General features: G+C 38.2%; 1 protein-coding gene across 14 annotated transcripts in view; it reads right to left on the minus strand.

Annotated features, from left to right (window-relative positions):
• RPS6KA5 (ribosomal protein S6 kinase A5) overlaps positions 1–15342 on the minus strand; it is a 212781-nt gene that overhangs the window by 117229 nt on the left and 80210 nt on the right. For 12 of the 14 annotated variants that reach the window (NM_001322228.2, NM_001322236.2, NM_001322231.2 and 9 more), the window contains one exon: positions 13217–13435. The exons of the other annotated variants lie outside the window; for them this stretch is intronic. In NM_001322228.2, the coding sequence (NP_001309157.1) occupies positions 13217–13435 (219 nt within the window). The remainder of the gene's footprint in view (positions 1–13216; positions 13436–15342) is intronic. 14 annotated transcript variants of the gene reach the window in all.

Here is a 15342-nt window from a genome sequence, read left to right on the forward strand (position 1 = left end):
TACCTCTTAAAAAGTTCTCGTATCGGCTGGGCGCTGTGGCTCATGCCTGTAATCCCAGCACTTTGTAAGGCAGGCAGATCACGAGGTCAGGTCGAGACCAGCCTGGCCAACAGGGTGAAACCCAGTCTCTACTACAAATACAAAAATCAGCTGGGCGTGGTGATGGGCACCTGTAATCCCAGGTACTCGGGAGGCTGAGGCTTGAACCTGGGAGGTGGAGATTGCAGTGAGCCGAGATCGCACCATGGCACTACAGCCTGAGCGACAGAGCGAGACTCTGTCTCAACAAAAAAAAAGTTCTCATATCAAATACCTTAAATTTTTGCCAATCTGACATACATTTCCAAGATACAGAGGATTTTAAGGTGCAAAAGAAAGGAGAAAGGAAGAAAACTTGAGAGCTTGTAGCAACTGGACCTGATCATCTCAGACAGAGAGGAAGACAGTAATGGGATTGTGGGTTTGAGAAGTAATAAGAGGCTGGGAAAGTTCACATGCAGTTCACGAGAGAGGGGTAAAATGCTCACTAACCTGTGAAGCTCTGCTGAGACTGACAGCATGGGTTTCATGCCAGACCCAGGTGACACATTTTGTTGACACACGAGGAAAGCTTAGCAATCTAGTATTGGGAAGACAAGTTCAGAGAATAATCAAAGTGACTGCAATGTCAGGCAAGGAGGAAGGTGAAGAGGGCAAGCAATGCCAGTGTGCCAGCCAAGGCAGATTCTAGGTTAGTAAGGGTGCAGATGGAACCCAAAGGAAGTAGGAGAATAGGAAAGGCTCAAAAGAAGGTAGGGCTCAGAGGGGATTTAAAAAATGCTCGGGGAGTATGAGAAAGGAAAATGATGGAAGATTATGGTTAAAGACTTTGAGGTCTTAGAGGTGCAACTGGTTTGACTGATAAGGCCTAATGTGCAGCTATACTTGTAAATGAAGCAAAAGAAGTGAAAGAGGTTTGGCATGGTATTGAACTGGTTATCAATACTGGTACTAAAGTTGTAGAAAGTGATGGGAGGAAACTGGAGGAAAGGGAAACTACGTCTGATGAATGTCACTGGAAACGCAGATATGTGTCCTGGGAGTCAATTAGCTACAGAATTGAGGGAAGTGGCTTAGAAAAGCTCTTTGAAAAACAAGACTCTGTTGAGAAATGATTTTTTAAAATGATGTTTAACTATCATCATGTTGTTGAGTACAGGAAGGTGGTCTTCTGTGACAGGGGCTGCTAGAGAAGCAACATCCTCCAAAAACAGAAGGTTTTACTTTAGAGGAAAGGATAAATAAAGCATTTCAGGAGTTTATGCACACAGTTACTCATAGAATACTAACCCTTTCTGTTAGTAGAGGAAGATGAAGAGATGTTTGAGTAGGGGGAAGAACACAAAATTCCTAAAGACATAAAAAATATCTCCAAAGCTTCTAAAATAGTAGGCACATACAAAATTAAGCTTTAGAGAGTACAGTGTACCAACGGAGTCATACCTCTTTATTTACATATTGTACATTTTATTCTAAAAGCTAATTTACATGTATTCTGCCAGAAAGTCAAGTTGGGATCTGGCACCAAAGAGGCAGACTAAAGTCCAAGGACAATTTTCTCTCTGCCAGGCACAGGGTCTAGCCCTATCGAATACAAGGCACTAATACTAGTTGCAAGGAATGAGTAAACATGTAATATTGCAGTAACTAACTGCCGTAGCCACATAAGTATTAAGGTAGATTCTTCATCTTAAGTTTCAGCATTGATAAAGAGTAGAAAGAAATAGAAAAGAAGAGAGAAAGCAAAAGAGAACTGGTAATAACAGTAAGAACATCTTTCTTGATGGGCATGTCTCAAGTTCTGAGCTCTTCCAAGAGATAAATTCAGGATAAGTCTTCAGACTTATTCTGTTTACAACTGAAGAACAAAAGAAAACTATCAATAGTCCATCTTTATGACAATAATTAAAAATAAATAGGTAGGGCTAACTCTAATACATGTTCTCAGAAGCTGTCAGGCAAATTTCATTAATGTGACCCTTCCAAAAAACATTTATCATCCCATTGAAATTGACTTACAGTCCATACAATGGAATACCTTATATGATCCTTGTGCCAATGATTTGTTTCTTGATTAAAAGAAATGTCATGTAAATGATTATATCTTAATTCCTTTGTATTTCTTAAATGGTCTTCTTTATATGTAGGATGACTAATATTCTATAACTGCAAAATATTAATATAAATAATTCTAACTTCCACATAAGATTGTCATGAGGATTAAATGAGCTACTGAGGATTATGAGCCAGGCATACAGTAGGCATTTGTTAAATAATAACTAATAGCTCCTATTATTATTTACAGGCATCAGTTACAATTTATAGACTTGAAAAATACTGTCAAGCTTAATTATAATGACTTAAATATAAAAATCAAATTTATTGTGCCCTGACTTACATACTCAATGTGGTCATAATTTTAAGACTTATGAATGTTTAACATATATTTCCATAAAGTACTACCAGGGTCTAATTACTTAGTATTAAGCTAAAGAGAGATTTTCTTATATAACTGATATTTCAGTGCAATCCTAAGTTTTAAAATTGCAGAGATATCTGGTTTTTATTCAAGTGCAATTAACTTGCTTTTAAAGATTTTTATGTTCTGGTATTTGGAATGCCAGATGAAGCACTCTGATACTGTGTCTCTAAGAAGCATAAAAATAACACAGAAATCACACAAATAATGTGAAAATTCAAAAACATAAAATTTCTCCCATTTTAAAACACACTACCATCCTCCCTAAATCCCACGTGTCCCATCTTGTCTTTCTTCTTTATTTTACTGCCAAACTTCTTTAAAGCGTGGTCTACATGGCTGATGCTCCTTACCCACTGTTCCCTTCATATTGCTGCTATAGGAAGTTACCACAGACTTAGTGGCGTAAACACTATGAATTTATTATTTTATAATTTTGTACACTCGAAGTCTGACATGGACATCACTGGACTAAAATCAAGGTGTCAGCAGGACTGCGTTTCTTCTGGGGCTCCAGGGAAAAATCTGTTTCCTGGCCTTTTCTAGCTTCTAGATACAGGCCACCCACATTCCTTGGCTTCTGGTCCCTTCCCTCATCCTAAAAGGCAGCTATGGCAGCTGAGTCACTTCTCACATTGCATCACCTGACCTTCTCTGTAGACACATCTCCCTCTCACCCTCCTCTCTCCTCCCTCCCTCCCTCTTCCTATTGTGTAAGGACCCTTGTGGTTACATTGGCCCCACACCAGATAATTCAGAATAATCTCTCAATTTTAGAGTCAGCTGATTAGTGGTCTTAATTTCATCTGTAATCTTAATTCTTCTTTACCATGTAGCTCAACATACTGACAGGTCCTGGGGGATTAGAATGTGGGCATCTCTGGGAGGACATTATTCAGTCTACCACAGCCTCTATTCATTCCTTAACATACTACAGTACAACTTCTACCTCCATGATAACACCATAACTTAAAGCTAAAAATAACCTCTTGTTACTAGAGTCAATGAATACTTTTCAGTCCTCATATTACTTAACTTTATGCCCTTTGCAAAGGGCAAAAAGGAAAAGAGTGTTTCAAAGGCAGCAAAATAGCACAAAAACTGCCTCTATGGATCAGCCCAAATTGAGCCCCTCAAAAATGGTTATGTTAACCCACTGAATTTTGGGTTAGTTATGCAGAAAAAGACAACTGATATATTAGCAACTTGTAGATCATGCTTATAACTTAAGTGTCTTGTTCAAGATCACACAGTTAATAACCAAAACAATCTTTTTATTTTAGCAGAATAATAGCCCTTTAATTTAGGTCACACATCTTTCATATTAGGAAAACAATTTATATTTCATTTCAATGACACATAATTTATGCAGATATTTAACAGTAGCAAGTAGATTTCACTTTGTTATTATGAAATAATATTTCCTTCTTGGATTCAGAATAGCAAGCCGTGTGTGTGTATGTGTGTTTGTATGTATATGGAAAGGCAGGTAGAGAATGGAGGAGAGAAAAATAGCCTTTAAACCAGTAAATTTGTTTCTTAAAACAGTAAATTAATTCTGAGAATTTGAACTGAAGATCTCTACAAAATTTCCAAGATTCTTAAGCAACTCATATCATTCTGACAATTAATACCTTATGGAATTAACGTTAGGGTAAAACAGCACGTGCTCTCCATCAAAATTCTGACTTTCTAAGTACATACTGTTGCACAGTTTCAGGCTGCTCGTCTTTGCACATCTGATTTGACTTAACGTTGAACTCAGAAATCTCTCCATTGTTCTGCAGTTCATACACTTTTATTAGCAGATGGAGAAAGTGAAATTCACAGAGACATTGGGTTACATAAGCTTTAAAGTATTACTAAAAACTACAGCCTAAATAGCCCATTTTCCATTTAAGATGCAAAAGGATAACCACAGAAAGGGCTAGCAAGCTTATTTTAAGGCTATGTCTTGCTCGTGCAATTGCATGGAAGTCAGCTTGTAGGAGGGGAAGTCGTAGAGTTAACAGAAATCCTACATCTCCTGCTTTCAAGGAAAGATTCTGTTCTGCTTTCACTCTCCAAACACCCAAACACCTACTTATTTCCAGTAATACTCTGGCTGACCTCTAGACATCTAAGCTTTCTATTTCAAATTCTCCTACTTAGAATTTCTCTCTCTCATATTTCTTCTTAAATGGTGGCACCTTCCAAAGAGCTGTTATTAATTCCCACATGCCCCCTATGATTCAGACCACTTCTCTCTTTTTTTCTCTCTCTCTCTGCACTGTTACTTGGTCTTCTTTTTATTTTTTTTCCTACAAATTTTCCTCTTCCTTCTGATATGCTTCACTTCCATGAACTCCCATACCTCCTGTTCTCATTTCTACCTACTCTTTCTCCTCTGGACCACCCAAATCTCTCTTGATAGCTCCCTTTTCTTATCTTCTATCTAAAATATAGTCTTAACGTGACATGCCACACAAACCTGAAAGTCATTTCTTTTTAATGTCATGCCAAAACCATCTCAGTTTATTTTTGTTTGGTTTTAGCTCAACATTCTAATAGTACACTCTATAAATGCATTTCAGCTTATCAAAATCATTACAAAGTTCTGACTAAGAACATCTTATCAATCTTGTGAATTAGTCATATTTACTTCAAAGCAAGGAAGTGTTTTCAGTTACTGTCTGTTTCGTCATACTAGTGACTGTAATATATCATGAACCATTCTGTTACCATCTCAGCAATTACAATTATTGCTCACCCTTACAATTATTGAGATGAAACCAATACTCAAAAGTGAAACTTTAATTTTTAAATACCTCTTAACTCCATTGAAAGAATGACTCATGATCACAAAACTGTCTACAAGGCTGGGATGGCATTCATTATTGGGAATGATCCTTGGCATTACCTTTACAAACACTTTGGTGATTTGCTTATTTAACATCTTGTGAATTCTGATTAATGTAACAATTTATTACAGTCATAGATCAGCTGGTGTTTCAACAAAATCACCACTAACAGAAACCAGAAAACATCAAAAGAAAAATTATTTTTACAGATTATTTTCCACATAGAATTCCCTCTCAGTGTTAGTTGAAATAAATATGAGTTTTAAGAGAGAGAGAACAGATAAAAATATTTTTATATCTCTTGTTGTAACCATGCACAGGTACAGAAAAAGTTATAAAAGGAGACATGATCTCCACGTTACAAGATTTGGGAAAAGTAAAAGAAATATAAAGGGAAAAATCCACCAAATCCAATATCATTAGCTATAAATCAGAGGCTTAAAAGATATTAATGTTGTTGAATTAAAAAAAAAAACCAGAAATGTGACTTAACAATAGATAACTTTAAAGCAGGGGTCAACAAATTACAGACCAGAGGCCAAATCTGGTCCACCACCATTTTTGTAAATAAAATTTTATTGGAACTTGGGCCAGGCACGGTGGCTCATGCCTGGAATCCCAGCACTTTGGGAGGCCAGGGCGAGCAGATTACCGATGCCAGGAGTTCAAGACCAGCCTGGCCAGCATGGTGAAACCCTGTCCCTACTAAAAATACAGAAATTAGCCAGGTGAGGTGGCACATGCCTGTAAACCCAGCTACTCGGGAGGCTGAGGCAGGAGAATCGCTTGAACCTGGAAGGGAGAGGTTGCAATGAGCCGAGATCACGCCACTGCACTCCAGCCTAGGCGACAGTGAACTCCATCTCAAAAAGAAAAAAAAATTATTGGAACCCTACCATGCCTATTTATTCACTACTGCCTATGGTCAAAGAGACCTTAAGGCTTGCAAAGCCTAAAATATTTACCATCTAGCCCTTCACTGGTCAAAGTCCTGATGCCTGATTTACAAGATGACAGATACAATATAAATAAAGAGAAGGCAACTACCAGTAAATACAGCATATTGTAGGAAACAATCACACATACTCAGTTCAAGTAGAAATGCTAGTCTATTCCGTATCTGGTTACTAAAAGCAAAATGTCACAGGTAAGCAAATGGCAAGATAATACTAACATTGTAATAATCTTATCATTTGGAGAAGCCTGTGCAAACAAGGCGAATTTAATCCCAATGGAACAAGCCCCATCAAGAAGTCTACAGTGAGCCATAAATACTAGTAGGCACATGATGGCAGCCTAGACATGAATCTCCACATCTGCTCCTAAAACATCTTTAAAAACAGCAAGAAAAGCTGTAAACCTCCATGACCTACTCCTTCAGCAAAACTGAGAGAAAGAAAACCCATATACACCAAACAACATGGTTCAGGGCAGGCTAAGAAGGAACTGGGCAAGACATGAGCAATGTGGGAAGGTAGGAAAATGTAGTAAGATAGCAGGATATAGAACTAATATATAAAAGTAATAGCTTTCAGCTAGAAGGTATGGTGGAAGAGAAGACCCCATTTACAAAAGCAACAGATGACAGAATATCTAAGATTCAGTTAAGAAACATGGCTAGGAAGTAAATGCTAAAACACACCTGAAGGTCTTAGAAGGATTTCAACATCAGCAAACATACCATGTTCTTGAATTGGAATAACCAATATCATAAAAATGTCAAGTCTCCCTAAATTAATTTTTTAATTTACAGCAATTCCAGTGAAAATACCTTACGGTTTTTCCCCCCAAAACCAGACAATGTGATTCTAAAGTTCATGCTGAAAAATAAACCAACAGGAAGAGTCCTCCAAAAAGCTCTGAAAAATAAAGGCAATGAAAGATCAGGGGCAGAGGGCAACTAACCTTACCAAGAATTAAAATACATTGTAAAACCTTGATAAATTAAAACAGTATAGTACTGGTACATGACTTAACAAACCAAACAGAAAAAAATCAAATAGACCCAAACATATATGAGAATTTCATAGAGGAAAAAGGAAGCACCTCAACTCAATGTAAATGTGGACTTTTAACTAAACAGTGTTGGGAAAATTAGCTATTTGAAAAAGATTAAGTTGGATCCTTATTTCATGTCATACGCCATCCACATGGATCCAAGTTCTCTATGCAAAAAATAAAACCATGCAAGTACTGGAAGAAGACATCAGTTAATTCCTTTATAAACTCAGTAGAGGAGTAGAGGAGGTCTTCTGACTATGACTCAAAATCACAAGCCATAAAAATAATTTTAAAAATAAATTTTACTATACATAAATTTTTGCATGGTAAATGCATCATAACCAAACTCAAAAAAATACATGGGAAACGGGAAAGTATTTACAATGCCTACCAGAAATGATTAATTACTTTATGAGCTCCTAGAAATTGAGAGGAAAAAAAGAGGCAAAGGGTACAAATAGATAATTCTCAGAAAAAATACATATGGCTTTTTAAGCATGTGAAAAGATGTTCGGCCTCATTCAGTAAAGAAAAAAAGAAAATTAACTCTACAATGAGACACTACTACTCACCTATGAGACAGGCAAATGCCCAGAAGTTTGAGAATACGTTCTGTGGAGAAACAGGCACTCTCAAACAATGCTGATGGGAATGTAAAATGGTACAACTTCTATGGAAGTGTATTTGGCAAAATTAGAGATGGCAAAAAAGGATGGGTGTGGTGGCCCATGCCTGTCATCCCAGCACTTTTGGAGGCCGAGGTGGGCAGATCACTTGAGGTCAGGAGTTGGAGACCAGCCTAGCCAACATGGTGAAACCCTGTCTCTACTGAAAAAATACAAAAATTAGCCAGGTGTGGTGGCATGCATCTGTAGTCCCAGCTACTCAGGAGGCTGAGTCAGGAGAATCACTTGAACCCAGGAGGCAGAGGTTGCAGTGAGCCGAGATCAACATCACTGCGCTCCAGCCTGGGCAACAGAGCGAGACTCCATCTCGAAAAAAAAAAAAGAAGAGATGGTGAAAACACAGACCCAGCAATCTCCCTTCATCAAGCCTACAGGTTTTTTCCCCCAAACAAGTAGAAAATGACATACGTGCAAGTTATCCCTGAAGCATCCTCATAAGAAAAGATAATAAACAATAACCCAAGGATCCCTTCACAGGGAACCAGTTAAGTATACAATGGAATGGAACGAAGGACTGTGCAGGAATAAAAAAAAGAACAAGGAAAAGCTTTATGAATTATATGGTGTTCATATGTTATGTTACATTACAACCACGTTATATTATGTTAAAACCAGTATCAGGGCGGGCGTGGTGGTTCACGCCTGTAATCCCAGCACTTTGGGAGGCCAAGGCGTGCGGATCACCTGAGGGTCAGGAGTTCAAGACCAGCCTGGCCAACACAGTGAAACCCCGTCTCTACTAAAAATACAAAAATTAGCCAGGTGTGGTGGCAGGTGCCTATAATCCCAGCTACTCGGGAGGCTGAGGGAGGAGAATCACTTGAACCCAGGAGGTGGAGGCTGCAGTGGGCCAAGATTGCACCACTGCACTACAGTCAAGGTGACAGAGTGAGACTCCATCTCAAAAAAAAAAAAAAAAAAAAAATAGTGTCCAAACACCACACAGAATATTTTCACTTCTAGGAGAAAAAATATAACCTTATGATGAAGGGATCAGGCTGTCACTATGTAATCTAATCTTAGAATCACTAATTGGGAAAAATCGGATAATAGGTTTCTCCTAACGTGATATAACATGAAATACATAACATCATTTATGGTGTATTCCAGCTCAAAACGTTTAAGTTTAACCTATTGAGACTTTAGATCTAGCTTCCCAATTACTACTAGAATTCAGCAGAGGCAGGAATAAGTTAAAAGATACTATAAGGACACAACCAAGTGAGCATTCCTGGATTGGACAAACAGCTGTAAAGCATAATTATGTTACAATTAGTAAAATATGAAAATGGACTTGTGTGACAAATGGCCATGAATTCTTTCTAGTTCCCCTCTTCAAGAGGTGAAGTCTATTTCTGCATCCCGTGAATCCAGGCTGGTCTTGTGTTGACAGTGAAGCTATGTGAGTTCCAGTGTCCAGGCTCAGGAGGCCCTGCAGCCTCCACTTTTGCCCTCTTGGCAGTAGTTGCTAGCTGCCCTGATACTACCATGCTATGAAAAAGCTGATCTACTGTACTGGAGGATGAGAGGCCATATGGAGGAGAAAAGAGGTGGCCCAGCTAACAGCTAGCACCAATTACCAGACATGAGAATGAAACCATCTTGGACCTCACAGCCCAGCCAACTCTCCATCTGAACACCAGGTGAGTGAGCCCAGGCTAACCATTAGAGAACTGCTCAGCCAACCCATGGGATCATGAGAAAATAAATCATTGTTTAAGCTATGAAATTTTAGGTGGTTTGTTATACAGCAATAAATAACTTGTACAACTGGGTTTTAAATGAAAATTTATTAGCTGGGAAAGGTAGATATCATTAACGGAAAGATCTGCTTACAAATCATATACGGGACAAACTCATTTTGATAAAACACACAGATAGACATACAGACAAAAAGACCTAGAAGAATATATACTGATAACAGAGGGGTATATAATAAGGTTCATGCTGGGTAGTGAAAATAAGTTTTTATTTTCTTATTTTTGCTGTCCTGTATTTTCTGTATGCATATATACTGCCTTTGCAGTAATAAAACTTTAAGAAAACACATATTTAAAAAAAAAAAGATTTATAGTATTTACTTAGTCATCAGACAAACTGTTAGCAAGGTTCCTGAAGAGCTAGACATGTAAGTTCTTGCTAATACCTCACAAAAAGCTGGATAAAGTCAGTCAACCAATAAACCTTTTGGGACTGTTACAGGCTGAACTGTATCTTCCCAAAACTCATTATGTTGAAGTCCTAGCCTCCAGTACCTTAGAATGTGACTGTAAATGGAGTTAAAATGAGGCCCCTAGGGTGGACCCCAAAGCAATCTGACTGGTGTCCTTACAGGAAGAAGAAATTTGGGCACAAAAAGAGATACCAGGGGCACACATGCGTAGGGGGACAACATGTGAAGAGGTGGTAAGACAGTGGCCATCTGCAAGCCAAGGAAAGAGGCCGTGGGAGAAACCAACCCTAGTGGCACATTGATCTTGGACTTCCAGCCTCCAGTACTGTGAGAAAATAAATGTCTATTGTTTAAGCCACCCAGCCCTAGCAAACTAATATAGGGACCAAGTGTATAGCACGATATTTGGGAAACTGACCTAGTGTGCATTAGGGCACTGCAAACAAATAACTGAACCATTAAAACAGTCTATGGTCCTCTTCTAAATTCCTGAAAAGTTTTCATCTTTAAAAGTCAACTGCTGAAACAGGCACAAAGAATAATTGTGTTAAATAAATTAATGTGAACAGAAGATAGAAGGGCATGATTTCTAAATGCAATGCCTCACTCACTGTGGAATGAATATGTTGTCCAGTTCACGTTCCATTCTTGACTTAGCATAAAAAAATGGGTTTTCTTGTTTTGTTTTGGATTTGTTTATTTAGGGCCAATGACAAAGGCCAAAAGTAATGGAGAGCCAATAACGAAAAAGCAACATGATTAAGGACTACTGTTTTCTAGTCTAATACAAAATATTTCACTCTTATCTATTTACTTCTAAATTTAACATGTTTTATAAAAAAATTACAATTTTAAATAATTTTAAAAAGCATATTGAGTATAGTTAAGAGAACAGAAAAAAAAAAAAAAAAAAAAGAGAGGAGACAGAAAGGGCGGGGGCAGGCTAGAGAGTAATGGTGCAGAGTCCAGGAACCTGTTTTCTTACCAGCTTCTGACTCGGACAACCTTAGACACATGATTTAACTTTTATGAGTTTATTGTCAAGGGAGAAACTTGAAAAGATAATCATTTCTCAAACAGTCCTCATGGACTTCCTAAGGCTTTCCTGGAAATTCTAGGGTAAAGAATAGAAATAAACCGGTAGGGCTTGGTACCCTTAGGCCCAGATACAAGCAGAGCTACTCCTTTCCATTTGTTTTCCATTTGAATTTCTGTGTGTTCATTTGAGGGAAGGGTCCTGCACTAAAAATGTTTGAAACCGCTGTATTAGAATGCTCTGTCACCTACAACAGTCTTGTTGTTCATGTGGGTAGATACTGAAGACATATATATCAAAAAAATCAATAACATAGCAGATACACACAGGAGGCAGAATGAAGGGCCAAATTATATTGACTCACTGGAACAATAGGCAAATGATAACATTAATGGGGACTCTTAAGAGGAGAGAAGAGAGTGTGTCCTACATGAATAAAGATTTAGAATTGTTAATTGATGGTAAGCATTGCAAAATGAGCATGAAGTGTAACATCATGGCTCAAAAGGTGAATGCAATCTTAGGTATCATTAATAAAAATATAATTTCTAATATAAAAGCACTCAATAAAATGGCCAAATATATATTAAAAAACCAGTTTGTATTACCAATAATCAAAGAATACAGGCAGCAATTTAGGGAAACAGAAGACAGACATTGGAATGATTCAGACTTGAGCTCCAATCTTCAAGCATACACAAGATACGTAACTTCAGGACATACAGCTTCCAGAATGTGGACATCACTAATGAGGGGATCCTGCAGTGCCTTTGTGTGGGTCAGTGATATTATGGAATACACCTAGTGTAATGGCTGGCATACTGTAGGCACTCAAGAAATAGCTAATACTTGCAAAGCACTATGTGAAATTCTAGCTCATTTAATCCTTACCATAATTCTAGGAGAGAGTTATATCACATACATGCAAATTAAAACAAGCACGGGACCAAAATGGTAACAGATAAAATCTTCAACGATGGTAGAACACTAGAAGCACTGCCATTTCTCTAGTGGGAACAGAAGATGGTGGAACTTTTCTGCAAAGCAGTCTGGGAATGTGTGTGAGGACTTTCCCAAAGATCATATATAAAGGTCCAGCTCTATTTGAGAAAGGAATGGATTCAGAAAGTGCCTAGGGTGGAAATGGGAGTGTAAAGGGCTGACTGATTAGTAGCTAATCAAGTTTTTCACCAGGAATGCAAAGCATCTCTAGGAACAGAAGTCTTTTCTTTCTTTTTTCTTTTTCTCCATTACTGGTTTCCATGAACGTCCGTCCCCTTGTCAGCCTAAACCTGTTCATTCTGAGAACTCCTAAAGCAGAAATTGGCCCACTTCACCAATCAGTTCCTCACATTTGAATGGAAGCATACTGCTCAGGGAGGTAGATACCCCTAACAATTCAAATGTTTCTTAACATTAATAAAGGAAAGGCTGGAAGTGACAGTTCACAGCTGTAATCCCAGCACTTTGGGAGGCCAAGGCGGGCAGATCACTTGAGGTCTGGAGTTCGAGAGCAGGCTGGCCAATATGGCAAAACCCCATCTCTACTTAAAATACAAAAATTAGCTGGGCATGGTGGTGCATGCCTGTAGTCCCAGCTACTCAGGAGGCTGATGAAGGAGAATCACCTGAACCTGGGAGGCGGAGGTTGCAATGAGCTGAGATTGTGCCACTGCACTCCAGCCTGGGTGACAGAGCCAGACTCTGCCTCAAAAAAAGAAAAGAAAAAAAGACTAAGAAAAGAGTGTGGAATAGAAGGAGGTAAATTCTTCCATAATGGCATAATGGGAGGCCTCAAATCCAGAGCAATGCATGATATTCCAGGAGATGCCACCACAAAGAATGAGAATCAAAATATTTCACTTCTTCTAAGTCCATAGTATCTTGCCCTTTAAGTACATTATAACTTAAGACCCAAAGAAAAGTGTTTTCATAAAAAGTCTGATAACAACTGACACTTACCTAAAATGAGATGAAGTTTGGTTTCTGTCTGGAAAGCATAATGTAATGTTACCAAAAATGGCGACTGCCTAATGTGTTCCAGGACTTGTCGTTCTGTCCTTGTATGCTCTGTGGTTTTGGCCTTTTGAACGATTGTTGCCTTTTTCAAAACTTTCATGGCATACAGCTTTCCAGTATCATGGCCACTTATTTTACGAACTAGAAATACTTTTCCATAAGCTGAAAATGAAAAGAAAAAATAAAAAGAATTAAAATGCTACACAGGCAAAATGGTAATTTAGTGCAACTAAATTTATTTAATGCACAAAAAATACACTCTTTAAAGGAAAAAGTACCCTTGGTACCAGTTCAAATAGTTATTTGATAGATTTCTTCAATTTTATACCAAATATATTTCTAGGTCTAACCCTTAATGTTTACATATCTAACCACTGATGACAAAATTATGCTTTTACTCTTTTACTGTTATTCTCTCCGCAATATTTTTAGCTGTAGAAAACTAGCTGTTATTACGGTCAACTAACCACAATCCAATTCTGGAACAACCAGGACATTTTAGACATCAGATAAAACTTCTAGATATATATATATTTATTACTGATGTAGACAAATGAAGGCAGTTCTTAATAAGAATTTCATATATATATAAATCAAATGCCTCAATTATTCCTCTATACTTATAAAAAAAAGCCTAAAGCAACATAAGCTGACATTATATGAACAAAAGAGATCTTCAGACTTAAAACATGAAAAGATCCTAAACTGCATACAATACGACAGAAGCCCTTTTGTATCTCTGGGCAGTAATTTACAGCTTACTAGGTCAACCTTGCCACACTTTTCATAATAAGGACTCTGTTGGGCATGATCCTACGTGTGGTGCCCCTCCTCCAGGTGGAGGAATTGGGGCCATGTGGGCACTGTGCCTGTGGGCAGAGCAGGTCCTCTGCATTTATTTTCTTAGAGAAGTGGGCTAAGGCAGGAAGAAGTGGAAGGAAGAGGGAGGAAGAAGGGAAGACAAAAAAACAAAAACACTTTGGGAATGAAAAGGTGAGTCCCCCACTTCATCCCTACAAGGTGTCAATCCTCTACAGTTAATCTGTTTAAAAAGGCAAATGCTTTCTGGGATGTTTAAGTCCAGTCTCTCTGTTAAATGCTTTAATCAGACCATTATTGAGTTAGTTTGAATTCTGGCCCAGATCAATATTCACACTCTATGGCATTTACCACCTAATTCTATTGTAATCCACCCACTAGAAGAAGGGAGCTTTAAGGGAAGGGCTCTTGTACTCCGTATGTTATTCAGTTCAGTACTCTGGGAACTGGATTAGTACCAACACACAATGTGCAAGAGATCAGTGAAAGACTAATAATCCTGAGAAGGAGCGCCAACATTTATTAAGGACTTGCCGATGCCCGGCTCTGCACTAAACATATCGATTCACTTAATCCTCAAAACAGCCAGTGAAGCTGGTGCTTTTAGCAATTCTACTTCACCCATGAGGAAATGTGTTCAGAATAGTTACAGAACTGGCCCAAAGACTGAGGCAAGAAGCAGCAGAACTGATTCAAATGCAAGGAGTGTGACTCCAGGGACCACACTCTGAACCATAAATGAACAAAAAAGTGATTCCTCACAAGCGCTAGTAATCAGACATTCTGGATCTTAATATAACCAGTACTGTAAACGTACTGAACACATTCCAGGGCACAGAAAAAGTTCACAAAGGTTTGTGTATTAGCTCATCGGAAATCCAATAATTATAGGTTGAGACCTCAGTAAGGCAGAAGTGAATCAACAAGATGAAATGACAACTTTTGGAACCTAACAAATTAGGGTATACAAATAAAAAAATGTTTATCTATTCAGAAGCAACAAAATGAAGCTAGAAAATATTATGCACTACACCTTCCAACAGGGAAAGCCACTATATAAACTCAGGAGAAGGTAAAGTCTTCCACAAGCAGCCCTGAAACTTCTGTGTTCCTTACATACACATGGCACTTACTCTAAATTCTTGTTATCCCAGGTTCCTAACTCCAGAGCACTATGGTTTTTAGAAATTAGGGAATCCATCTATGCTCTCAAAACCAGGAATTCTTTCCACAAGATCACCAAACATGGC

Source organism: Homo sapiens, chromosome 14 (assembly GCF_000001405.40).
Source record: "Homo sapiens chromosome 14, GRCh38.p14 Primary Assembly".
NCBI classification, from domain to species: domain Eukaryota; kingdom Metazoa; phylum Chordata; class Mammalia; order Primates; family Hominidae; genus Homo; species Homo sapiens.